General features: G+C 38.7%; 1 protein-coding gene across 4 annotated transcripts in view, besides 3 other annotated features; it reads right to left on the bottom strand.

Annotated features, from left to right (window-relative positions):
- Positions 1-26,613, bottom strand: part of WDR70 (WD repeat domain 70) — a 374,118-nt gene that overhangs the window by 307,035 nt on the left and 40,470 nt on the right. For all 4 annotated transcript variants that reach the window (NM_018034.4, NM_001345998.2, NM_001345999.2 and 1 more), the window contains 2 exons: positions 8,420-8,479; positions 3,029-3,162 (listed from right to left, as the gene is read on the bottom strand). In NM_018034.4, the coding sequence (NP_060504.1) occupies positions 3,029-3,162; positions 8,420-8,479 (194 nt within the window). The remainder of the gene's footprint in view (positions 1-3,028; positions 3,163-8,419; positions 8,480-26,613) is intronic.
- Positions 293-382: an enhancer, noted in NCBI's record as "active region_22489". NCBI's record gives its function as "activates an Ori minimal core promoter by ATAC-STARR-seq in GM12878 lymphoblastoid cells {active_cell/tissue: GM12878}" and the evidence as "EXISTENCE:reporter gene assay evidence [ECO:0000049][PMID:35858748]".
- Positions 423-472: an enhancer, noted in NCBI's record as "active region_22488". NCBI's record gives its function as "activates an Ori minimal core promoter by ATAC-STARR-seq in GM12878 lymphoblastoid cells {active_cell/tissue: GM12878}" and the evidence as "EXISTENCE:reporter gene assay evidence [ECO:0000049][PMID:35858748]".
- Positions 13,266-13,768: an enhancer, noted in NCBI's record as "H3K27ac-H3K4me1 hESC enhancer chr5:37432735-37433237 (GRCh37/hg19 assembly coordinates)". NCBI's record gives its function as "activates a minimal SCP1, AML or CMV promoter by ChIP-STARR-seq in primed H9 embryonic stem cells {active_cell/tissue: H9 hESC(primed)}" and the evidence as "EXISTENCE:reporter gene assay evidence [ECO:0000049][PMID:30033119]".

Genomic DNA, 26,613 nt, shown 5'->3' with positions numbered 1-26,613 from the left:
TTGATGGGGATGGCATTGAATCTATAAATTACCTTGGGCAGTATGGCCATTTTCACGATATTGATTCTTCCTATCCATGAGCATGGAATGTTCTTCCATTTCTTTGTGTCCTCTTTCATTTTGTTGAGCAGTGGTTTGTAGTTCTCCTTGAAGAGGTCCTTCACATCCCTTGTAAGTTGCATTCCTAGGTATTTCATTCTCTTTGAAGCAATTGTGAATGGGAGTTCACTCGTGATTTGGTTCTCTGTGTGTCTGTTATTGGTGTATAAGAATGCTTGTGATTTTTGCACATTGATTTTGTATCCTGAGACTTTGCTGAAGTTGCTTATCAGCTTAAAGAGTTTTGGGGCTGAGACGATGGGGTTTTCTAAATATACAACCATGTCATCTGCACACAGGGACAATTTCAATTCCTCTTTTTCTAACTGAATACCCTTTATTTCTTTCTCCTGCCTGATTGCCTGGCCAGAACTTCCGACACTATGTTGAATAGGAGTGGTGAGAGAGGGCATCCCTGTCTTGTGCCAGTTTTCAAAGGGAATGCTTCCAGTTATTGCCCATTCAGTATTATATTGGCTGTGGGTTTCTCATAAATAGCTCTTATTATTTTGAGATATGTCCCATCAATACCTAATTTATTGAGAGTTTTTAGCATGAAGGGCTGTTGAATTTTGTCAAAGGCCTTTTCTGCATCTACTGAGATAATCAAGTGGTTTTTGTCTTTGGTTCTGTTTATATGCTGGACTACATTTATTGATTTGCGTATGTTGAGCCAGCTTTGCATCCCAGGGATGAAGCCCACTTGATCATGGTGGATAAGCTTTTTGATGTGCTGCTGGATTCGGTTTGCCAGTATTTTATTGAGGATTTTGGCAGAGACACAACAAAAAAAGAGAATTTTAGACCAATATCCCTAATGAACATCAATGGAAAAGTTTTTCTTTAAGAAGATGCCAGGAAATAAATGCAGATGAAATAACAGAATAGGAAAATCACCAATTTGTAGCTCTCGGTGACATAACCGATTCAGGAAGAAATCATCAATGGACACTGAGCTCATTAAGTGAAAGAATGATGAGTATCTGGACAGTTACATATACCAAACTATCTCTCTACGAAGTTCTTGCCTATCTCAAGTATAAAATATTAACTTTACAATGAAGGAATCAGATGTCACTACCTTAATCCAGGGATTTACCTTAATTTCTAGTCACTAACAGTGAAACAGCTAGACAATACATGCCATCTGAAGTGATACAATATAATTATGATAAAGCCTTTGATATTCCACAGGAAATATTGGAGAGGAGATAAAGAAACAAGTTAAGTCAGGAGTCCCCAAAGCCCAGGACATGGACTGGTATCAGTCTATGGCCTGTTAGGAACCAGGTGCACGGCAGGCGTTGGGAGGGTGAGCAAGCGTTACCACCTGAGCTCCGGCTCCTGTCAGATCAACAATAGCATTCGATTCTCATAGGAGTACAAACCCTATTGTGAAATGCGCATGTGAGGGATCTCTAGGTTGCACAATCCATATTAGAATCTAATGCCTGATGATCTGAGATAGAACAGTTTCATCCAGAAACCATCCCACCACCCCGACCTCCACGCTACCCCTAGTCCATGGAAAAATTGTCTTCCACAAAACCAGGCACTGGTGCAAAAAAGATTGGGGACCGTTGAGTTAAATGATACCATAAGAAAGCAATATGCCAGAAGATCAGATATGGTCAAAAACAGAAAAGAGAGTGTCTTATGGGCCAGGCGCGGTGGCTCATGCCTGTAATCCCAGCACTTTGGGAAGACGAGGCAGGTGGATTACTTGAGATCAGGAGTTTGAGACCACCCTGGACTACTGGGTGAAACCCCATCTCTACCAAAAAAATACAAAAATTAGCCAGGCATGGTGGTGCACACCCATATAGTCCCAGCTATTTGGGAGGCTGAGGTGGGAGGATGTCTTGAGCCCAAGAAGCAGAGGTTGCAGTGAGCCAAGATCTCGCCACTGCACTCCAGCCTGGGCAACAGAGCCAGACCCTGTCTCAAAAAAAAAAAAAAAAAAAAGAGAAAGGCTGGCTCATTGTAGCAACATGGAAGGCCCTTTCTAACATAATGCTAGCCGACCATACCTAAACAGTACAAAATAGATTGGTACCTGGTTAATGGCTTAACATATGTTAATTTCTCATTTCTCAGAATTAATTGGAATGTTTTAAAACAAAGTTTTGTTTTTTTTTTAATTTTTTTGTTTTGAGATGGAGTCTTGCTCTGTCACCCAGGATGGAGTGCAGTGGCGCAATCCTGGCTCACTGCAGCCTCCACCTCCCGGGTTCAAGCAATTCTCCTGCCTCAGCCTCCGAAGTAGCTGGGATTACAGGCATGAGCCACCACGCCTGGCTTGTTTTTATATTTTTAGTAGAGATAGAGTTTCACCATGTTAGACAGGCTGGTCTCGAACTCCTGACCTCAGGTGATCCACCCACCTTGGCCTCCCAAAGTGCTGGGACTACAGGCATGCGCCACTGTGCCTAGCCTTTTGTAATTTTTTTTGAGATGGAGTCTCTCTCTGTTGCTGGGCTGGAGTGCAGTGGCACAATCTCAGCTCACTGCAACCTCCACCCCTCAGGCTAGAGCAATTCTCCTGCCTCAGCCTCCCGAGTAGCTGGATTACAGGCATGCGCCACCACGCCCAGCTAATTTTTGTAATTTTAGTAGAGACGGGCTTTTGCCATGTTGTCCATTCTGGTCTCAAACTCCAGGCCTCAGGTGATCCGCCTGCCTCGGCTTTCTAAAGTTCTGGAATTACAAGTGTGAGCCACCGCGCCCAGCCTAAAATATAAGTTTATGAAACAAAAGAAATGTAAGGCTCGTTTTACTTCATTTAAATTATGAAGGCCGTATACAGTCATATAAACGTAATGTATTTTGATACAAATCATTGTAGATGGGATTCCAAAGCCAACAGCACTGTCTTCCAATGTGAAGACATTAGGTCAAATATGAAGATATTAAGTAAGTGAATACATACCACTCACAGGGCTGAAGGGATCGAAATGCCTTAAAAGAAGCATCCATTCCAGCAAAATCCCAAAACTTAACATCATAGTCATATCCTCCTGTCACCAAACGGGCACCTGAGGGATCCAGACCCAAAGCAGACACCTGGTTTTAAAAAAATAAAATAAAATGACCGGAGCAAAATGACATATGGTCAATTATAACCTCCCATTTCTGTTCTTTAATCCCACCCCCTATGTTATAGGACTTGGAAGTACAAACCACCAACTATTGTTACTTCTGAAAAGCAGGAATGGATGGTTGCCTTCCATATTATTAGACTTTGTTACTATATTAATTCTTTTGCAATAAAGAAAAATACTTTAAATCTATTTGACAATTTTGTCCCAAATCATCAACCATGTATTCAGAATAGCTATCACTGCAATTCCATAAGATAAACTAAGTTGCTTTAGTGTACAAGTAAAAATCTTACAAATAATTACAATAATTCAGCATTTTCAACATACAATCTGAGGAAAACTTTTAAGATAATCATAACTGAATGAAAACCATATGAATCTGAAATTACCAAAATGAGTAACACCAAGGGAGCTTTAAGAAATCTATTTAACAAAGTAGAACAAAGCAGAATTATCTGTCCCTTATGGTCAAATGGCTCGGTATATTCACCTTAAACAATTATTTTTAAAGCTGAATTTTTAAGTGACTAATCACATTATAATAGTACTTATATTGGTTCCATAAAATATTTGCTTTCGGCCGGCCACAGTGGCTCATGCCTGTAATCCCAGCACTTCGGGAGGCCAAGGCAGGGAGATCACTTGAGGTCAGGAGTTTGAGACCAGCCTGGCCAACATGGAGAAACCCCATCTTTACTAAAAATACAAAAATTAACTGGGCGTGGAGGCATGCACCTGTAATGCTGAGGCACAAAAATTGCTTGAACTTGGGAGGCGGAGGTTGCAATGAGCCAAGATCGTGCCACTGCATTCCACCCTGGGTGACAGAGCGAGACTCTGTCTTAAAAAAAAAAAAAATTTGCAGGCCAGGCACCATAGCTCATGCCTGTAATCCCAGCGCTTTGGGAGGCTAAGGCGGGCGGATCACCTGAGGTTGGGAGTTTGAGATCAGCCTGACCAACATGGAGAAACCCCATCTCTACTAAAAATACAAAATTAGCCAGGCATGGTGGCGCATGCCTGTAATCCCAGCTATTTGAGAGGCTGAGGCAGGAGAATTGCTTGAACTCGGGAGGCAGAGGTTGCAATGAGCTGAGATTGCGGCTCTGCACTCCAACTGGGCAACAAGGTGAAACCCTGTCTCAAAAAAAAAAAAAAAAAAAAAAATTGCTTTCCCTGTGAACTTTCCTAGGTCCAATTCACACGTCAATATCCAATGTGTAACTCATTGTTCCTAAGCTATATGTAGCTTTCTCTCAAAGCAGAGAGTCCCTAGATCTACTGCCCTCTAAGAAGAAAAGAACTGCATTAGGAATATTTAATGCGATTACTATACATTGGACACAGTAAAAGAATCAAAGGTTTTTTTGTTTTGTTTTTTTTGAGACAGAGTCTCACTCTGTCATCCAGGCTGGAGTGCAGTGGTGTAATCTCGGCTCACTGCAACTTCTGCCTGCTGGGATCAAGCGATTCTCCTGCCTCAGCCTCCTAAGTAGCTGGGATGACAGGCACGTAGCACCACGCCCAGCTTATTTTTGTATTTTTTAGTAGAGAAGGGGTTTCACTTGTTGACCAGGCTGGTCTCAAACTCCTGATCTCAGGTGATTTGCCCGCCTCAGACTCGCAAAGCTGGGATTAGAAGTGTGAGCCACGGCACCTGGCCAGAGTCAACGTTTTACATAAAGGAAGTTTCTATAAATCAGTTCTCCTAATAAATAGACTTGAAATGTAATTAATATAATTATAATTAGTCAGATACTGACAAAGTAACATATTCATTTCAATTAGCACTTGCAAATACCGATTTCATAATATAAGGGAATCATACATAAATAATAATACTTATGTTAAAATTAGACATGAACTCTAAAGATGTCAAGGAAAATATACAAGTGAAAACAAAGTCATTTTTTATGCCCGAACAATAATGTCTTAAAAAACAATCAAAAACAAAAATAAATGAATAGTAGTTTTAAAAATCTAGAAGTGACTTCTGCTACCACCACCTACAAACTCACTTGCCTCTACGTTCATTATGCTATCCTTCTTCCCTCCTGTTACAATTTAAAAGTTATTTCTCCTCCTAATAAGGCTAACCCCACCAGTGTTCATCTCACTACAACACAATATAAAATTACAACTCCATTTGTGGTTCCTCTATTCTGTATCTGTCCTTCCCTCAAGAGTATAAGCACCATATGGACAGAGACCTTGTCTGTGCCCAGCACTGAACATGGCACAAAATACAAACTCTACTAAATATTTGTTTAAAAGAAAGGAGAACTAAAAATTGTTAAATCTTATGTAAAACAAACATGCAGTCTGACAAATATGAGACAAATTCCTTTTTATCAAGGAAGAACAGAATAAATTGCAAACTTGACTGTTCTCCTAAGAAGAAAGATGACAAATTAAAAAGCAAAATTACAAAATGAGGCTTTCAATGCTACCATTCACTGAAGTATCAGGATCTCTGTTGCTGACTGTATATATGATTCATCATTTACCAAAACGATATGAAGGAGGTAATTAGAAAAATAGAAAACAGAGCTCGGAGGCTGGGCGCAGTGGCTCACGCCTGTAATCCCAGCACTTTGGGAGGCCGAGGTAGGCGGATCACCTGAGGTCAGGAGTTCAAGACCGGCCTGGCCAACATGGCAAAACCCCATCTCTACTAAAAATACAAAAATTACCCGGTGTTGTGGCGAGCGCCAGTAATCCCAGCTACTCGGGAGGCTGAGGCAGGAGAATCGCTTACCCCTGGGAGGTGGAGGCTGCAGTGAGCTGAGATGGCACCACTGCACTCCAGCCTGAGTGACAGAGCAAGACTTTGTCTCAAAAAAAAAAAGTGTCTTGTTCCAACTTGAGAATGAGCACAAATTTTCAGTTTTAACATTTATATTAAAAGAATTAATGTGTATCACCCTCTCCTCCTTTCAAAAAGCTTTAGACTTTATCATCACATTCAGTGGGAAGGGTTCAGTTGACTATTATGCCATAGTAAGTATATTCACTAAATATTCACTAAAAGGAGAAAAAGCACAAAATCTTATAGAGATATAAAAAATAAACATGATGATAATTCTCCTAAGAGTACATCAGACATCATTAAGAGACTGATTTGAACAAACTGACTCTAAAAAGATGTATGAGAAAACTGGGGAAATTTGAACACTAATGAGATATTAGATTAAATAATTATTGAAAAAATAGATATATAAAGATGGTATTATGTAGGAAAGAGTGTATGTGTGCACATTCAGAAAGAGTGTACGTGTGCACATTCAGAAACAGCCCAATATTATCTCTTAGAGGTTCATACTGAAATATTCACAGATGAAATCATATGAAGTCAGGTATTTGCTTTTAAATAATCCTGTAAGGTGGGGACGGGGGGACTAAAATGTAAAGTATATAGGAAAGAAATAAGATTGGCCTTATGGACCTTTTTAAAATAACTCATTTAAAAGAAAAAAAGATCAGAGAGAAAAGTCACCTTCTAATCCAACATTTATTTAAAAATAAATTTATTTGCATGTAGAACAAAGGCAGGATTGCAAAAAAAAAAAAAAAAAGAGTTAAGCCAAGAGTATAATTAGACACTCTAATTGATTTTCAATGTGTAAAACATACTGGAGTATTTTTTAAGTTATGTTTCTCTATAAGATAAAACTTGATTTACGAAAAAAGGAATATTTAAATCAAACTTGTGAAACTCATGACCCATCTCTCAGTTGTAAAATTCTCCAGACTAGATGACAGAAAAGCTTCCTTTTAAATACTCAGTCTACAATTTTTCCTTATTTACTTAAAAACACAAAAAGTAGAATTCCATCATAATTTCAGAACAAAAATATAAAAAACCTGATTTAAGAAAAAATAAATATATTAAGAATTAGATGGAAATGATGTCTTAGGGCAGCAATTCCCACATAGTTTCATTTCAAGACTCTTTACACTCTTAAAGTCTACTGAGGACTCCAAGCCGGGAACGGTGGCTCACACCTGTAATCCCAGCACTTTGGGAGGCCGAGGCAGGAAGATCATGAGGTCAGCAGATCGAGACCATCCTGGCTAACACGGTGAAAGCCCATCTCTACCAAAAATACAAAAAAATTAGCCAGGTGTGGTGGCGGGCACCTGTAGTCCCAGCTACTCAGGAGGCTGAGGCAGGAGAATGGCATGAACCCGGGAGTTGGAGCTTGCAGTGAGCCGAGATCACACCACTGCACTCCAGCCTAGGTGACAGAGTGAGACTCTGTCTCAAAAACAAAACAAAACAAAAAAAAAAACGAATGAGGACTCCAAAGAGGTTTTGTTTATGTGAGTTATATGTATCACTATTTCCACTAGAAATTAAAACTAAGAGATTTTTACATCTTTTCCATTTCATTTAAAATAACAATAAACCCACTATATTTAACATAAATATTTTTATGAAAACAATATTTTCAAAAGAAAAACTGTAAGAATGACCCTGTTTATATCATTTCTGGGTCTACCTCTATTGATTGATATTTCCCTCTTATTATGGGATGTATTTTCTTACTTCTTTACATGTCAATTAGAAAAAAGTAGTTTCACTGAAAAGGGAAAGATAATTTTTTTCATTTCATATGAATGTTTCACTCATTTAACTACTACTTTTTAGTGGCTTTGCAATAAGATACAATGATTTCACCTTACATCTCAAATATTCTATATTATTCATCTTTAAATATTTTAGATTACTCAAACATAAGTAAATATAACAATATAAACATGCAATCTGTAAACTAAGTATTAATAAATACTTAGAGCCATACAGTAACTACTTAAAGTTCATTTCTTATCTCAACATTCATCTGAAAAATGAACAAATTCATGCCTTTTACTGATACAGAAGTAAAGCTAAAGGTAGTAAGAAATTTTCCCACACCATAAAAAGCAAAATTGTGTTTGAGTTTCATTTCTTTCTTCCACTTATAATGTTCCTATATTAAAAAATAAGAGATTTTTAAAGCCAACAATAACAGTGACAATAATTGTTCCTATTTTAACTAAAAGGAAATGGCTATTTTGACTGAACATAAAAGTAATCTATTTTTCCTTAATGTCTATAGCTTTTATGTCATCAGTTGATTGTATAATTAGCCTTAATACAAATGTATCTTATCAGTTCACTTTTCCATGACAGCCCTGTAATTTGAGAGAGGAAAAAACTAGATTTTTAAACTTACTGTTTTAGTGCCATGCTTCAGCGTTATCTCATGCGAGTCAGGAATCTTGTGAACAGGATTCTGAAACAAGAAAACCCCATGACATTAATGGTAAAATAACATATTTGTGGGGAACTACACAACACATTTCACAGGAAATACAATTTTTTAAAATTGCATCATTGGTTTTTAAACACAAAGCTTAAAAAAACAGCAAAAAAGTGTGAGAGTATCTTTTTTCTACACTTCTAGATACACTACAATGGGTCTCTGATGATAAACTGATTTTAAATCTCTAAAAGGATAAACCTAAGAAACTCATTAGGTTCTATAAAATTATCTCTTATTGTCAACATAAATTGAAATTTTAATTTAATCCAAATGTAAAAATAAATCAGTAGCTGTTAATAGTATAATTCATAAAGAAAAACTAGAAATTTATTTTTCCTTTAAATCACAGTTTATCAAGAGGAGCGAAAAGGTTGATATATCTGCTTACCATACTTTAATATCAAAAATTATTTTTAAGCATATTGTAACCTATGTATAAAATAATAATTACAGATTTTCCTAAAAAATAACCAACAAGGTCCTTTCAACATCAAAAATTTTTTAAGTTCTCTATCTATTCTGGGGCATACCTTAAAGTGTTAAGTACTTAATTTCTAACAAACAACAAAACCTTCACAGGGTAACTATATACCTTTTAACCCTTCAAAGTTAAAAAGAAAATTGTTCAAAAATGGTAAAAATAAGAAACTCCAAATCATTCACTGATTCATTGGTTCAATAAGCATTTACTGAAGTGGGATTGTACCAGTTGTTAGGTGGCAGCAGACACGGTCTCTTCTCATCCCTCCCACACAAGAAGCATATGGTCTAACAGGGAGATATCAATGGCTCTACTTCAGTATAATGAATGCTATCATAGACAGGAGTATGGGCAGAACAACTGAGGGACAGTAAAGAGGAATGCATAAATCAGACATAAGAGGTTACAGTGATCATTTAAATCAGAGGTTTCATTGTTTATTCAAGTCTCATTACTCAAGAGCAGGCTAATCCTACTAATATTATATGTCTATTACAAATTCAAGAATCATCTCACAATCTACTTAATTAAACATGTGACCTAACAGCTTTTTCTATCTTCAATCTTTCCCCTGCTATGGCTCTTTCTCTTCAGCATATAAACAAAGTATTAATACTTACCATAGTAAAAAAACAAAAACTAAAAGACTACTGACTTCCCCTAAAATTTATTGCTCAATCGTTATCTTTTCTTCTGCAATCCCGCTTTTTCAAACTATGGCTTCCCTCAGTGTCCCCACTTTCTTTCACCCCCTACCTCAATTTTGGCATTTATCATTTTATTCCTAATTCTTAGCACAGTTCTTGGCACATAAGAGGCTCTCAGTAAATAGTTCTAAATGAACAAACAAGTCACTATAAATCCCTCTGCACACTTTACAGAACTTAATCTACATACACGAACTTTCAACAGCATGGTAACTATTTATCTCCTCCATCTTGAAACTGTCCTTTGCTGGGAGGAAATAGCCTACAGAAAAAGCCAGAAATGCTAGAGTTTTTTAAACTAGCAATGCCATTAATTAACCATGTGATGACTTCAGCAAAGTTATGACTCTCAGTTTCATTTGCAAACTATGAATAATAGCACCTGCCCCACAGGTTACAGTGAAGTAAGTGGTTTCAAACTCCTAACAGAGTTTGGCACATGGTAGAGCTCAATAAATGATAGCCACTATGTATTCCAAGGCTTACCTCCTATATTGGCCACATCATCTTAGAGTGTTTTTCCAGGCTTCTTTTCCTCTTTACCTGGCTAATTTTTATTCATCCCTCAAAACTCAATTCAGATGTGACCAGCTGCTCAAAGCACTTCTCAACATTTCAAACACTGGGTTAAATGACCCTCTTATGCATTTCTATGGCATTTCCTTATCTCAGTCACAGAACTTACGATAATACATTGTAATTTTTTACCTATCTCCCCCACCACCACCCCCTTATCAAACTGCAAAATATAAGCTTCTCAAAGACTATATCTATTTATCATCTCTGGATCCCCTATGCACCAAAAAGCTGGTATATGGCAGACATACATACACACACAGAGAGGTTTTAGAAATGAATAAATGGCCCACTGTCTACCTTGTTCATCACACTAGATTGTAATTTTTAATTAACTCTCAAATTTTAGAGTAATGATCATGTCCATAAAGAAAAGCAGGTGCTATCACATCAGGCCAGCCTGGTAAGTGAGAGGCAAGAGATAACTAAGATTTTCAAAAGCTGAAAACCTTTTAAGACCAAATTATTATATCCCAGACTAAAAGCAGATTGAAGATTGCAACAATACAGAAATAAAGGTAGTTTTGTTTTAGACTGTAAAGAAACAGTTGGGGAATTGCAGTTTTTTTCAAGACAAAGACATTACTGTTTTGTTTACTATACTGTGGAAAGTGCTGCACATACCTCTTTCAGAGATATCAATATTCAAACACAAATTCCAAAACAATTTAAAGGTCAAATTCTGGACTATTCCTACACTGAATAATCTGAGTCACTACTCTCTTTGCAGCTGACCACATTTGAACATAATGAAAACTCATTTGTAAGTGCTAAATATTCTTGCAAGAACCAAGATAATACTTGAAATGTTCTACTTACAGAAGAGTCTATCATAGTTTGTACCTCATTTCATAACTACTTTTTCATCACTCAGCAAATAGAAATACTGTCACCAAAAAGATAGGATGAAAATTATTTCATTTATTTCAATGCAGAATGTGCCTATATATAGACAATTTCTAACACTTAAAAAAATTTACAAGGACACACAACTTAGTATTTATATTAGGAGTGAATTAACCATTTAAATAAATGTTTACATTTAAAATCAAAGTTTTACTGGAAGTCATGCATGGCATAACTCATAAAAATCCCATATAATTGGCACAGCTAAATCATCTAAAATAGTAGCAATCCATCTTTTGGTAGCATATCACTTGATGGTGACTGTTCTTTTTCCAGAACTTTTACTAATGACTTTTTGAAATATAGCTTAGTGTGAAATTTGCTATAACAGTAAAATATTTTCAAGATTTTCCTGCCAAGGAACATCATAAACTATTTGACTTCGATGAAGTAATTTATTACCAGAATTCATAACAAGAGCTACAGTCCCAATGGAAGAGAGGAAAATATACCATTTTTTGTTTTGGCTTAATTTTGAAAACCAACCAAAGGATTATTTCCCAGGCTCTGTGGTCTACACCCAATAACAACAATGATGGTAAATATATCTAAAATAATATGAGCAATTCTATCTGATGAACATCCTTACAGAAATTTCAAATGACTTACAAATCAGAAACAACCCTTCTAGGCTAAGGTCACATACAACTATAAGCCATAATTAAACCTCTACCCAATAACAAAGATCTGCTACAAAGTTGCTGGGTGCTGGGGGAAGACAGTAAGGACTGCCAAAAAGAAGCTTGAAAATGAGCGCTATTTTCTCGCAGAAATCACTGAAGTACAGCTACCAGTGCAGGCAACCAGAATTAAAGTCTATTCTAGTGAAACTATGGAGATCTAATAACACTAACTTAACATTAATTCATTTCTTCATTGATATGGTTCGGCTGTGACCCCACCCAAAATCTCATCTTGAATTGTAATCCCCACATTCCCAGGACCAGGTGGAGGTAACTGGATCATGGGGGCAGTTTCCCCATGCTGTTCTCCTGAGAGTGAGTCTCAGAAGATCTGATGGTTTTTTATAAGCATTTGACATTTCCCCTGCTTGCATGTCGCACTCTGTCTTGCCACCCTATGAAGAAGGTGTTTCTCCTTTGCCTTCTGCCGTGATTGTAAGTGTCCTGAGGCCTCCCCAGAAGTGTGAAACTGTGAGTCAATTAAACCTCTTTCCTTTACAAATTATCCAGTCTTGTGTATTTCTTCATAGCAGTGTGAGAATGAACTAATACCTTCATTTACTCACTAAACATTCACTTAAGAAACATTTATTATTTAATTACATACCACACACTGGGTTAGATTAATGATAAAAGAACTATTAACAAAGACTCTGCTTACACAGAACTGTCAGTCCAGAAAAGCAAAATAAGACAGGTAAACAAATGGGCAAATGAAAATGTTTCAGTTGCTGTAACAGAAGTATACACAGGGTTCAGTGCTCAATTCCATTCTGCCTAAGAAAGTAGGTGGTTAGAAAAGAGATTTCTGGTATCTTTCAAAAAATAGAGGTTATCTAGATGAATATGATGAACATCCAGGAGAGAATAATATAAATCTTGACACTTTCTGAACTTCAAGTATTTTTCCCTTACTAGAGTTTGAATTGCTAGGCAGAAAATAGAGCAAGGGTGTATGTGTTATACATATACAGCACTATGCCATTTTTATATAAGGGACTTCAGCATCCTTGCATTTGGGGATCAGCAGGAGAGTCCTGGAGCCAATTCCTCTCAAAGGGCCAACTGTATACATAAAAGCCAGAGAGAGAGTTCCAAATCAGGCTGTATACAATTCCAAAAAACAGAAGTTTAAGCTCTGAGTCATAGAAAGTAATTTGATAAAGTCTGAGATTTTAGGCCAGGCACGGTGGCTCATGCCTGTAATCCCAGTACTTTGTAAGGCCAAGGTAGGCGGATCACTTGAGGCCAGGAGTTTGAGACCAGCCTGACCAACATGGTGAAACCCCATCTCTACTAAAAATACAAAAATTAGCCAGGCGTGGTAGCACACACCTGTAATTCTAACTACTTGGGAGGCTGAGGCACATGAATTGCTTGAACCTAGGAGGTGAGGGTTGCAATGAGCCAAGATCGTGCCACTGTACTCCAGCCCAGGTGACTGAGACTCTGTTCAACAACAACAAAAAAAAATCTGAGATTTTAAAATATCGCCAAGGTGTTCTGGGCATCAAAAGAGATAATCAATACAGTAAAAAGACAATCTACAGAGAAATGGGAGAAAATTTGCGCAAATCTTATATATAAGGGATTAAAATCCAGATTATATATGTTTTTTAATTTCTACAGCTCAACAACAGAAAAAAACAAACCACCTCATTTTAAAATGAGCAAAAGGCCGGGTGCGGTGGCTCACGCCTATAATCCCAGCACTTTCGGAGGCCAAGGCAGGCAGATCACGAGGAAGGTCAGGAGATCAAGACCACCCTGGCCAACATGGCAAAATCCCGTCTCTACTAAAATACAAAAAGTTAGCCAGAAAGGCCGGGCGCGGTGGCTCAAAGGCCGGGCGCGGTGGCTCATGCCTGTAATCCCAGCACTTTGGGAGGCTGAGGTGGGCGGATCACAAGGTCAGGAGATCGAGACCATCCTGGCTAACACGGCGAAACCCCATCTCTAGTAAAAAAAAAAAAAATACAAAAATTAGCCGGGCGTGGTGGCACACGCCTGTAGTCCCAGCTACTCAGGAGGCTGAGGCAGGAGAATCGCTTGAACTCAGGAGGCGGAGGTTGCAGTGAGCCGAGATCACGCCACTGCACTCCAGCCTGGGCCACAGAGCGAGACTACGTCTCAAAGATAAAAATAAAATGAGCAAAAGACTTGAACAGGCATTTCTCCAAAGAAGGTAAACAAATGGCCAATAAGCACATGAAAAGATGCTCAGCATCACTAATAATTAAGGAAATGCAAATTAAAAGCACAATGAAATATCACTTCACACTAGGATCAAAAAACTTTTACTATCAAATAAACAGAAAATAACAAGTGTTGGTAAGGAGGTAAAGAAACTGGAATCCTTGTGCAATGTTGGTAGGAATGTAAAATGGTATAGCTACTACGGAAAACAGCTTGGTAGTATCTCAGAAAATTAAAAATATAATTACTGTATGATCCAGCAATTCCAATTCTGGGTATATACCCAAAAGAATTGAAAGCAGAGTCTTGAAGAGCTATTTGTACATCCACGTTCACAGTAGTATTCACAACAACCAAGAGGTGAAAAGCAACCCAAGTATCCACTGATGGATGAATTAATCAACAAAACGTGACATAAACATAAAACAGAATATTTTTCCGTCTTAAAAGAAAGAAAATTCCGACACATGCTACAACACAGATGAACCTTGAAGACATTATATTAAGTAAAATACATCAGTTAGAAAAAGACAAATACTATATGGTTCCACTTATATGTGCTAGAGCAGTCCGATTAATAGAGATAGAAAGCAGAATGGTTGCTGCCAGGGGCTGGGGGCAGGAGGAAACTGGGAGTTGCTATTTAATGGATATAGAGTTTCAGTTAGCAAAATGAAAAAGTTCTGGGGATTGATTGTACAATAATGTGAATATATGTAACAATACTGAATTGTACACTTAAAAATGGTTAAGACGGTAAACTTTATGTTATGTGTTTTTAGCACAATAAAATTAATAATTAAAAAATCATCAAGGCTGTGGTGTGGAGGCTGAACTAGGAAATTACCAGTATAAGGTAAATGCCAGTGTAAGCACAGGGAAGCCTATTAAAATATTCTTGCAATAATCCAGAGAGGACCTGAATTGACATAATACAGTGGGAATGGAAAAAAGAAAAAAAAAGAGGAATTATATAAGAGATCTTAAGGACTTAAGATGTGAAGAAATAAAGATAGCTCTGTTACTCTCCACCCAAAGCCCTGACGTCACTCTTATAATTAACTATTCAATAAATATTTATTGAGTACTGACTATGCCTAGCACTGATGATATTCTGGTTTTAAAGAAAGAAGGTTCCTGCCTTCATGAATCTTGCAATCCGATGACAGTCAGAACTTTAAATATATATGGCCAGGCACAGGGGCTCATGCCTGCAATCCCAACGCTTTGGGAGGCCAAGGCAGCCTGATCACCTAAGGTCAGGAGTTCCAGACCAGCCTAGCCAACACAGTGAAACCCCATCACTAGTAAAAATACAAAAATTAGCCAGACATGGTGGCACAAGCCTGTAGTCCCAGCTACCCAGGAGGTTGAGGCAGGAGGATGGCCTGAACCCGGGAGGCAGAGGTTGCAGTCAGCCAAGATTGCGCCACTGCACTCCAACCTGGACGATAGAAGGAAAAAAAAACTGTATACATACACATGCTGGGCACGGTGGCTCGCATCTGTAATCCCAGCAGTTGGGAGGCCGAGGCAGGTGGATCACTTGAGGTCAGGAGTTTGAGACCAGCCTGGCCAACATGGTGAAACCCCGTCACTACTAAAGATACAAAAATTAGCTGGGTGTGGTGGCGCAGGCTTGTAATCCCAGCTACTTGGGAGCCTGAGGTGGGAGAATCGCTTAAACCCAGGAAGCGGAGGTTGCAGTGAGCTGAGATCATGCCACTGCACTCCAGCCTGGGCAACAGAGCGAGACTCCGTATCAAAAAAAAGAAAAAAAGAAAAGAAAAAAATCTATACACAAAGTATTAATTAATTACAACAGTAAAAACTTCATTAGTACAGGGCGATTTTAATCAATGTGGAAAACGCATTCAATACACTAGTCTTTCATTTTCTTTACCATTATTCAGCCATTTACCCTCATGTCCAATTCTAGAATTAATTGACACCCAGTGCTGCTTTGATTCTAAAACCACAAACCAAGATATACAAATCTTTAACTACAACAGTTCTCTCTTCAGATCACACTCAGTCACACTGTTTTCTACCTTATTAGTAGACCACTTTACTTTCATCTTATCACTCCCTTTCTCTGACCTTACATCCCAATAAAGATATTTTATAAAAAGGTGTATTGGAACTAGGTTTACCTCTAAGAGATATATTAGTTAGGACATTGGAAAGTTCACAAATAAAACTTTAAAACAGGCTGGGTGCAGTGGTTCACGCCATTTAAGATAATAACAAAAAACATTAAAACTTAGAAATAATTTTTTAAAATATGTGCAAGACCTGTACACTTAACACTATGTTACTGAGAAAAATTAAGGAGAACTTAAAATAAATGGAAAGATATATAATGTTTATGGATTGGAAAACTTAATATTGTTAGGAAAGTAAGGCTCTCAAAACTAATCTACAGATTCAATACAATCTCAACCAAAATCTCAGCAGGCAGTTCTGTACAAATTTACAAGCTAATTCTAAAATGTATTTGTAAATTTGAAGACTCAGAGTAACCAAATCAGTTTTCAAAACAAACAAGTCAGAGAACTGTACACTACATGATTTCATGTATAGAGCTATAGTAACTAAGACAGTAACTGAGCTACAGTAACTGAGACATTGTGATAGTAGAGTAAGAATGGCCATGCATATCAATGAAATAAACAAATCAGAAATTAACCCACACATATACAAATTTGTTTTCAAGAAAAATGCCAAGATAATCCAAATGAGAAGACCTTTTAAACAAACAATACTCAAACAATTGGGTATCAATTTGGAAAAAATAAAAAAGGAACTCCAATCCTTTCCTTACACCATACATAAAAATTAACTTGAAACAGGTAATAAATGTAAAAACTAAACCTATAAAACAATGAGAAAGTATAGGAAAAATTTTTGCAATCATTGGTAAGGAAAGATTTCTTAGAATACAAAAAATACACACCAAAAAGAAAAAAAAACTGACATATTTTATCAAAATTTAAAATTTCTATCCTCAACAGACATGATCAGGAAAATAAAAGGCAGACTCAGACTGGACAAAGATATTTACAATACATTTATGTGACAAAATACTTCTATCCAAAATATTTAAGCTCAAAATAAACTCTAAACTCTAAAACTCAATAAAAAGGCAACCTAATTTTTCAAATGGACAAAAGATTTGAACAGACACTTCACAAATGATGCACACATTAGCCAGGCACAGCGATGCACATTGCAGTCCCAGACACTCAGGAGCCTAAGGCAGAAGGAATTGCTTGAGCCCAGGTGTTTGAGTCCAGCCTAGGCAACACAGTGACACCTCATCACAAGAAAAGAGGTTTAATGTCAGTCAACAAGCAATTGCAAACTAAAGCCACAATTAAACAGCACTACACACTTACTGGAATAGCTAACATTAAAATTATCAACAATACCAAGTGTAGGCAAGGATATGGAGGAGGCAGAATTCTCCAATTTTGCAGGTGAGAGTGTAAAATGGTAATAATCACTCTAAAAAACAGTTTGCTAGTTTCTTATAAATATACACTTACCACATGATCTAGCAATTTTGCTTCCAAGAGAAATAAAAACATATATCTACAAAAAGACCTGTACAAGAATGATCACAGTAGCTTTATACAGAATAGCCAAAAACCAAGAACAAGCTATTTGTCTATCAAAAGATGAATAATCTATGGTAGATTCATAAACATACTACTACTTAGCAATAAAAATGAACAAAGCACTAACACATGAGACAAGATGGGCAAGTCTCAAAAGCATTATGCTGTGCAAAGTAAGTCAAACACAGAAGAGTTTGTACAGTGTTTCCATTTATATAAAATTCTAGAATGGGCTAAATTAACCTATAGTGACATAAAACAGATTTGCCTGGGATTAGGGGTAAATGGAGGGAAAAATGGATTGACAGCAAGGTGGCTTGAAAGAAACATTTTTGGAAATGTTCTAAATCTTGATTGTAGTAGTGATTACTCAGATGCTTACATTTTTAAAATTTCACAAACTATACTCATAAATTGGTTGCATTTTACTGTGTGTAAACTATACCTCGATAAAACTAATTTTTACTTTTTTTGCTGATATCTGCAGAAAAGCAAAACTGGTTATTTTTTTAATGAAAAAACAAAAACAACAACAACAAAACAAAAGCCTGATAGAATTAGTTTTGGCTGTAACAAAAACCCAAAATAAAGTCAGGACTGACATATGTCTAAGACAATCAGGACCACAGCTTGTTGCCCTCATAAATTCAACAAGTCTAGGTGATGGTCCAAAAGGCTGCTGTGGTTTCCAGACAGCAGGGAAAAAAAAAAAAAAGGAGGATACATCTCTTCCCATTAATTTTCCTCTCAAAAGTTGTCCATATTCTTGCACTTACATTTCACTGTCCAGAACTAAGCCACAGAGCCATACCTAGCAACAGGAAAAGCTCGGAAATGTATCTTTTTCTTTTATGAGACGGAGTTTCACTCTTGTTGCCCAGACTGGAGTGCAGTGGCACGATCTCAGCTCACTGAAACCTCCACCTCCCAGGTTCAGTCTCCTGAGTAGCTGGGATTACAGGCGCGCGCCACCACGCCCAGCTATTTTTTGTATTTTTAGCAGAGACGGAGTTTCATCAGGTTGGCCAGGCTGGTCTCGAACTCCTGACCTCAGGTGATCCTCAAGCGATCCACCCACCTCGCCCTCCCAAAGTGCATGGATTACTGGTGTGAGCCACCATGCCCAGCTGGGAAATGTATCTTTTATCCTGAACAGTTACATACTGAGAATCCTATTAGGAATAAAAAGAGAAATGTATGTGTGCAAGCATGTGTGCATGTGTTTATGCATGTGTGTGTACATGTACATGTATGTACATATACACGTCTATGTGTGCATGTGTATAAGAATCAATGAAATGACGTGTTTCTTTTTTTTTTTATTTTTTATTTTTGAGATGGAGTCTCGCTCTTTCGCCCAGGCCGGACTGCAGTGGAGCTATCTCCGCTCAGTGCAAGCTCCGCCTCCCGGGTTCATGCCATTCTCCTCCCTCAGCCTCCTGAGTAGCTAGGATTACAGGCGCCCGCCACCACGCCCAGCTAATTTTTTGTATTTTTAGTAGAGACGGGGTTTCACCGTGTTAGCCAAGATGGTCTCGATCTCCTGACCTCGTGATCCGCCCGCCTCAGCCTCCCAAAGTGTTGGGATTATAGGCGTGAGCCACCGCGCCCAGCCAACGTGTTTCTTTTTAAAGAGTTCAAAAATCTAGATAAAGCTGAGCGTGGTAGCCTGTAATTCTAAAACTTTCAGAGACCAAGGCAGGAATATCACTTGAGCCCATGAGTTTGAGACCAACCTGGGCAATACAGCGAAACCCCATCTCTAAAAAAAATTTAAAAATTAGCTGGGCATGGTTGTGCACACCCGTATTCCCAGCTACTCGGGAGACTGAGGTGGGATCATTTGAGCCTGGAAGGTCAAGGCTACAGTGAGCCGTGACTGTATTCCAGTCTGGCAAGAGAGACCCCATCTCAAAAAAAAAAAAAAGAACCTAGATTAGGCTTTAAGGCAACTACTTTTAGGTGGATATGTTAATTAGTCTCCAAAAATGGCCTCAAGAAATCACATCTCTCAATATTCACACCCTTGTTGTCTTCTTCCATGCAGAATCATCAAGTAAGAAGTCTGGATACACTGTTGGAAAGACTAGAGAGAGGGAAGGTGCTTTCCCCAAGTTTCAACGGAGCCAGCCTTCCAGCTGTCCCACCAAGGCACCCGCTATGTAAGTAAGGCCGTGGTGAACATGCTATATGCTAACTGCAGCTACACGAGAGATTCAAAGTAAGACCAGAAGAAGCAGCTAACCTCCAGTCAACTTATAGTCATGAGAAAAATTATACTGGCTATTCTTTTAAATCACTAAGTTTAAGGTGGTTTGTTACATAGAAGTAGATAACTAAAACAGTAAAGATGTTTTGATTTGGCAAAAAAACAAACTGTGAAGTAATCTCATATAATCTGAATTACTGCTTAAAGTTAAAATAATTACACTTTGTCATTAAATATAATAAAGATGCTTCTCATTTTACTTCATCTAATTCTGATACAATTGACCACACATTTTTTTCCTATCACAATCTTCCTTTTGGTTTCCATGACACTTATTACCCTGATTTACCTTCTACCTCCTTCTTGGCCACCTGTGCAGGATCTTCCTTCTCTATCTGTCCCTCGGGGTTCTGTCCTAGGCTTTCTGCTCATCTTGTTCATTGTCAGAGCTTCAATAGCCATACATATGCTGATGACTCTAAAATCTATAATCCCAGGCTATATGTCTCTCAACAACAAACCTATATTTCTAGCAGTCATCAGGATGCTTTGCCTGGATGTCTCAGAAATACCTCAACTTAATTGTCCAAAACTGAATTTACAATCTTCCCTATCACTCAGCCTCCAAACTCTGCTCATCCTGCTTTCTATCTCAGCAACTACTGCCACTATCTACCAGCTACAAAACTAATAATCTTGATGAGTCCCTCTCACCACACTTATATAATCAATTACCAAGTCATTTCCATTCTTCCTAAAAAGCATCTTTCAAATTATGCCATTACTCAAAAATCATGCTCAAAATCATTATAATTATAGACAAACTAAGGCTTAGGGGGAAAAAAGAAAAAAAACAGCATAAAAGGAAAAGCCTTTACAATTGCCTACAGGTCCTCCTGTTAGTGTTCTGATGTCAGTCATCTCCTCCTTCTCTCCCTCTTGTTCATTCTGTTCCAGCCATACTCACCTAAGAGCTTTTTTCATGAACGTGCCAGGCACATTACTGCCTTAGGGCCTTTACACTAGCTGTTCCTTATGCCTGCACCATTCTCCCAGATATCTACATGGTCAACTTCCTAATCTCTTTCAAGTCTTCTCAAAGGTCATCTTCTGAAGGAGGCCTAACTTGACCGCCCTATTTTAAATTACAACCTGTCTCCCAGTTAGCACTTCTGATCCATGTTATCGTGCTCTACATGTTCCCTTTCCCTATAGCACTTACAGCTTTCTATTGTTTATATTTATCTTCTTTGTTGTTTTTTTGAGATAGGGTCTCACTCTGTCACCCAAGCTGGAGTGCAGAGGCACAATCATGGCTCACTCACTGCAGTCTCAACTGCCCCAGACTTAGATGATCCTTCCACCTTAGCCGCCTGAGTGGCTGGGACCACAGGCCTGCATGACCACGCACAGCTAATTTTTCTATTTTTTGTAGAGACAGGGTTTTGCCATGTTGCACAGGCTATTCTTGAACTCCTGGGCTCAAGTGAGCCCCACCCACCTTGGCCTCCCAAAGTGCTGGGATTACAGGCGTGAGCCACCGCACCCAGCCTTTATTATCTATTTCTCCCTATTAGAATGCAAGTTCCATAAAAGCAAGATTTTTTTTGTCTGTTTTGTTCTCTGATGTATCTAGGTACCTAGAACAATGTTCAGCTTATAGTAGGCACATATAAAAAAATACTTTTTTGACAAAAAGCTGGAAAAAATTACAAATTAAATATAACTATAAAACAAATAAAATGTTAATTCACATCAACGCAAAGTTAATTTGATGAGTGATATTCTGTTGAAACTACACTGTTGGTTGGGCATGGTGACTCATGCCTGTAATCCCAGTACTTTGGGAGGTGAGGCAGAAGGACTGCTCGAGTCCAGGAGTCCAAGTCCAGCTTGGGCAACAGAGCAAGACTCCGTCTCTACAAAAACGAAAATAAAAAAATTAGCCGGGCATGGTGGTGCGCACTTGTAGTTTCAGCTACTCAGCAAGCAGAGGTGGAAGGATCACTTGAGCCTGGAAGCTTAAGGCTACAGTGAGCCGTGATCACGCCACTGTACTCCAGCCTGGGCAACAGAGCAAGACCCTGTCCCTTAAAAAAAAAAAAATGGAAAAAAATTAAATTGTCACTTGCAAAGTGCAGTACTGATGCCTCCATTTGGCATGTCTTTTGGTCAATAAGATCCATCTAGTAGCCTTTATAATTATATTTAGTATTACTGCATGCTACCTAGGCAATTCTAAGAACTGCTAACCACACAGAGACATCTGTAAGAACACTTTAATTCCAAAAACACACAAGCAGCAATATATTTATAAATAGATAATTTTTTTTTGTCTTTGTTTTTTTTTTTTTTTTTTTTTTTTGAGATGGAGTCTCCCTCTGCCGCCACGGCTGGAATGCAGTGGCGTGATCTCAGCTCACTGCAACCTCCACTTCTCGTGTTCAAGCGATTCTCCTGCCTCAGCCACCCGAGTAGACAGGATTACAAGCATGCACCACCTTGCCCAGCTAATTTTTGTATTTTTAGTAGAGGCAGGGTTTCACCATGTTGGCCAGGCTGGTCTTGAACTCCTGACCTCAGGTGATCTGCCCGCCTCGGCCTCCCAAAGTGCTGGGATTATAGGCATGAGCCACCGGGAGTTCAAGAATAGGCTGGGTGTGGTGGTTCACACCTGTAATCCCAGCACTTTGGGAGGCCGAGGCGGGCGGACCACGAGGTCAGGAGTTTGAGAACAGCCTGGCCAACAGTGAAACCCCATCTCTACTAAAAATACACAAAAATTAGCCAGGTGTGGTGGCGGCTGCCTGTAATCCTAGCTACCTGGGAAGCTGAGGCAGGCAAATAGCTTGAACCTAAGAGGCAGAAGTTGCAATGAGCCAAGATAGCGCCACTGCACACCAGCCTGGGAGACAGTGCAAGACACCATCTAAAAAAAAAAAAAAAAAAGACAAAAAAAAACAAACATTTAAACAACCTAAGCAGCAGCAAATCAGTGTTTCAATTTATAATTCTGTCATGATTTTAAAAAAGCAATGATTATTGCCAATGAAACTATGGTAGTTGAAAATCATACAAGAAATCCTATATTAGCAACTCTTGTTCTTCCTTTTTCTTCCCTTGTTTTTTCCTTTTCTTCTTTTTTTTTTTTAATGTTTTTGTTTATTATACTGGCCATGAACACTCCACCACAGTAACTCTCCTTCTTATTTGCTTCCTAAGTCAGAAATTCTGGAATCTAGACAGGAATCTATATTTAACTCCACTTGTAACCTTCAGTAAGTTGTTTAACCACACCAAACCTCAGCTTTGTCAATTATAAAAGTGAAAGAGGTTAGTTACCATGAATTATATGACATAATTTACTTTGAATTTATTCACATCTGGAACTGTGAACACTACCTTGTCACTGAGAAGGCCCCCCCTCACTTCCATCCTCTTCACTTCTTTCCACACTGCTCTCTACAATACTATTCTTCATAGGTCATTTTTCATCAAAAACCTTCAATGGCTCTCCACCACCTTGGTAGCAATCAAAAACTTTTCACAACATTCCCGCATTTTGTTTAAGAAAGTTTTCACATTTGGCCAGGTGCAGTGGCTCACAAGTATAATCTCAGCAGTTTGGGAGGCTGAGGCGGGCAGATCGATTTGAGCTCAGGAGTTCGAGACCAGCCTGAGCAACATGGCAAAACCCCGTTTCTACAAAAAATACAAAAAAAATTTAGCTGAGGGCTGGGTGCAGTGGCTTACACCGATAATCCCAACACTTTGAGAGGCTGAGGAGGCAGGCGGATCACCTGAGGTCGGGAGTTCAAGACAAGCCTGGCCAACATGATGAAACTCTGTCTCTACTAAAAATACAAAAATTAGCTGGGTGTGGTGGCATGCACCTGTAATCCCAGCTACTCGGGAGGCTGAGGCACAAGAATCACTTGAACCCAGGAGGTGGAGGTTGCAGGGAGCAGAGATCGCGCCAGTGCACTCCAGCCTGGGTGACAGAGTGAGACTCTGTCTAAAAAATATATATAAATAAATAAAATAAAACAAAAAAATTAGCCAGGCATAGAGGTTCATGCCTATAGTCCCAGCTACTCTGGAGGCTGAGGCTGGAGAATCACTTGAGTCCGGGAAGTGGAGATTGCATAAGTCGATATTGCACCACTGCACTACTCCGGCCTGGGCGACAGAGTGAGACTCTGTCTCAAAAAAAAAAAAAGAAAAAAGGAAAGTTTTCTACAACATTTGACTACTGTTTCAGGTAAAGTTAAACAAAATTAACATTTCAGAAGTTTCTTACATAATTAGAAAGCAAATACTTGTATTTTGTTATAAGATACTAATCTCTAAAGAGCCTATCATTTGCAGTGGTATTTTTCATTTATTACTTATTAATATTTGTATTAAGAATCCATCCTTATCCTTTACCCTCAGTATTAACCATTCCAGGTAGGAATGAAAGAAGAGAGAAGCTGAGCTTGCCAGGGAGAAGGATGGCCTGTAACAGAACTAAGAAGTAGCGACCTGGCTTCCTGGGACCCTGTAATGAAACTCCTCCCTCCCACACTCTCACTCCCACCCCAAGGAGAAGACTTTCTTTTACAACCACCAAGAGAGAGGGAGAATTTCACCTGCTGAGCTGGGTCTGAGTTGCACCATTTTTCCTATTTCTGAAAAAGTCCCTCATCTAGGATGTCAGTGGCAATACCAACCTCATGTATACCCCATTCTCATGCACACAAATTAACAACCTGAACCATCTTCTCAAAGCCTCAAATCCTTAGCCTTCTCTCTACAAAGAATATTTGTTGATTGATTCATTTAGGAAACAAAGCATCTTTTTAGAAGTAGAATAAAGATTAATACACACTTCACCCTGATATCTCCACAGTTCTGTTACTAAAAATGTAAGACAGGAATATAACAAATCAGAGGTAGCACAAAAGAGAAGGTATTCAACACCACTTTTGTGAGTCAGTGAAGATTTTCACAAGGAGAAAATGCTCTGTTTTCACAGGGAAAAATAATTCTGAAAAATGAAAAAGGTCTTCCTTGATGAAAGAGATAGGTCTGTCACAAAGTACCTTACAAGCGTCACAGCTTACATAGAATGCCACTGAATAGAGGTGTACTAAGTATTGATCAGCATCCAGAGAGAAGAAAAAGTATTCTGGAATGCATGAAACAGTCAGAACCAAAGACTGTTCACAGTTTACACAGATAGGGCATGAGGCAAATGTAGGAGAGATTCGAGATGACCCTGAGAAGCAGAACAGGTCACAACCAGTAGTGTAGTAGGGCATAATGGTTAAGCACATGGATTCTGGAGTAGCTTCCCTAAATTTGAAACCTGACTCCGCCATTTACCACTGCGTGGCCTTAGAGAACTTAGCACTTCCGAATACTAGTTTCCTCACCTGTCGAAAGGGGATGGATAACTGTACCTCCACTTCACTGGAGCAGTAGGAGGATTATATGAGTTAATTCATCTTAATTGTTTAGAAAATTGCACAAAAGAAGGATCCGCTAACTGTTGAACTGTTGGTGCTATAGTGCATATGCTTATTTCATGTCATAATTCTTTTATTTATTTTTTGTTTTTGAGACAGAGTCTTACTCTGTTGCCCAGGCTGAAGTGGTGGCGTGATCTCGGCTCACTGCAACCTCTGCCTCCTGGGTTCAAGTGATTCTCCTGCCTTAGCCTCCCGAGTAGCTGGGACTACAGGCACGTACCAGCACACTCGGCTTATTTTTTTGTATTTTTAGTAGAGACGGGGTTTCACCATGTTGGCCAGGCTGGTCTCAAACTCTCAACCTCATGTCATCCTCCCAAAGTGAGAGGATCATTTAAAGCCATGAGTTCGGGAACAGCCTGAGGAACATATGAAGACCCCATCTGTACAAAAAATAGCTGGGCATGGTGGCATGCACCTTTGTTCCTAGCTGCTCAGGAGGCTAGAGCAGAAAGATCACTTAAGCCCAGGAGTTCGAGGTTGCAGTGAGTTATGATAATACCACTATATTCTAGCCTGGGCAACAGAGCAAGAATCTGTGTCTAAAAAAGAAAAAAGAAAAAAACAAATCTTTTTCAAGATTGGCACAGGCAAATCTACTTGTATACACGTCAACAAAAGGTGAAAGATCAAGGAAACTATTTTACTTTCAAACACTGTGTTACTACTACTAAAGTGCAAATTGATATGTCTGTTCCTCTGGCTGTCTTCATTAATATTTAGAGGAGTCATAAAATAATTACCTGATTCTTGCTTCTAAGAATACTTACTTTTTTCTCTTTTTATTTATTTATTAATTTATTTTGTAGAGACTGGGTCTATGTTGCCCAGGCTGGTCTTGAACTCCCAGCCTCAAGTAATCCTCCCACCTCGGCCTCCCAAAGCACTGGGATTAGAGATGAGAGCCACTGTGGCTGACCAAGAATACTTTCTTTAGCTGTTAAGGTAGAAAACAAAATATGGGCCAGGCACGGTGGCTCACGCCTGTAATCCCAGCACTTTGAAAGTCTGAGGGGGGCAGATCACTTGACCCCAGGAACTCAAGACTGGCCTGGGCAACACAGTGAGACCCCATCTCAAAAAGAAATGTAATCAATAAATAAAGTAGCCCAAAATAAATTTAATAAATAGTAAACTGAGAGAAACAAACAAAGCGAAAAATATAATTGCACTAAATTCAGTTTTTGTTTTTGAGACAGAGTCTCGTTGTGTC

The sequence above is a fragment of the Homo sapiens genome, chromosome 5 (assembly GCF_000001405.40).
Source record: "Homo sapiens chromosome 5, GRCh38.p14 Primary Assembly".
NCBI classification, from domain to species: domain Eukaryota; kingdom Metazoa; phylum Chordata; class Mammalia; order Primates; family Hominidae; genus Homo; species Homo sapiens.
This window is presented reverse-complemented; position numbering and strand designations above follow the sequence as displayed.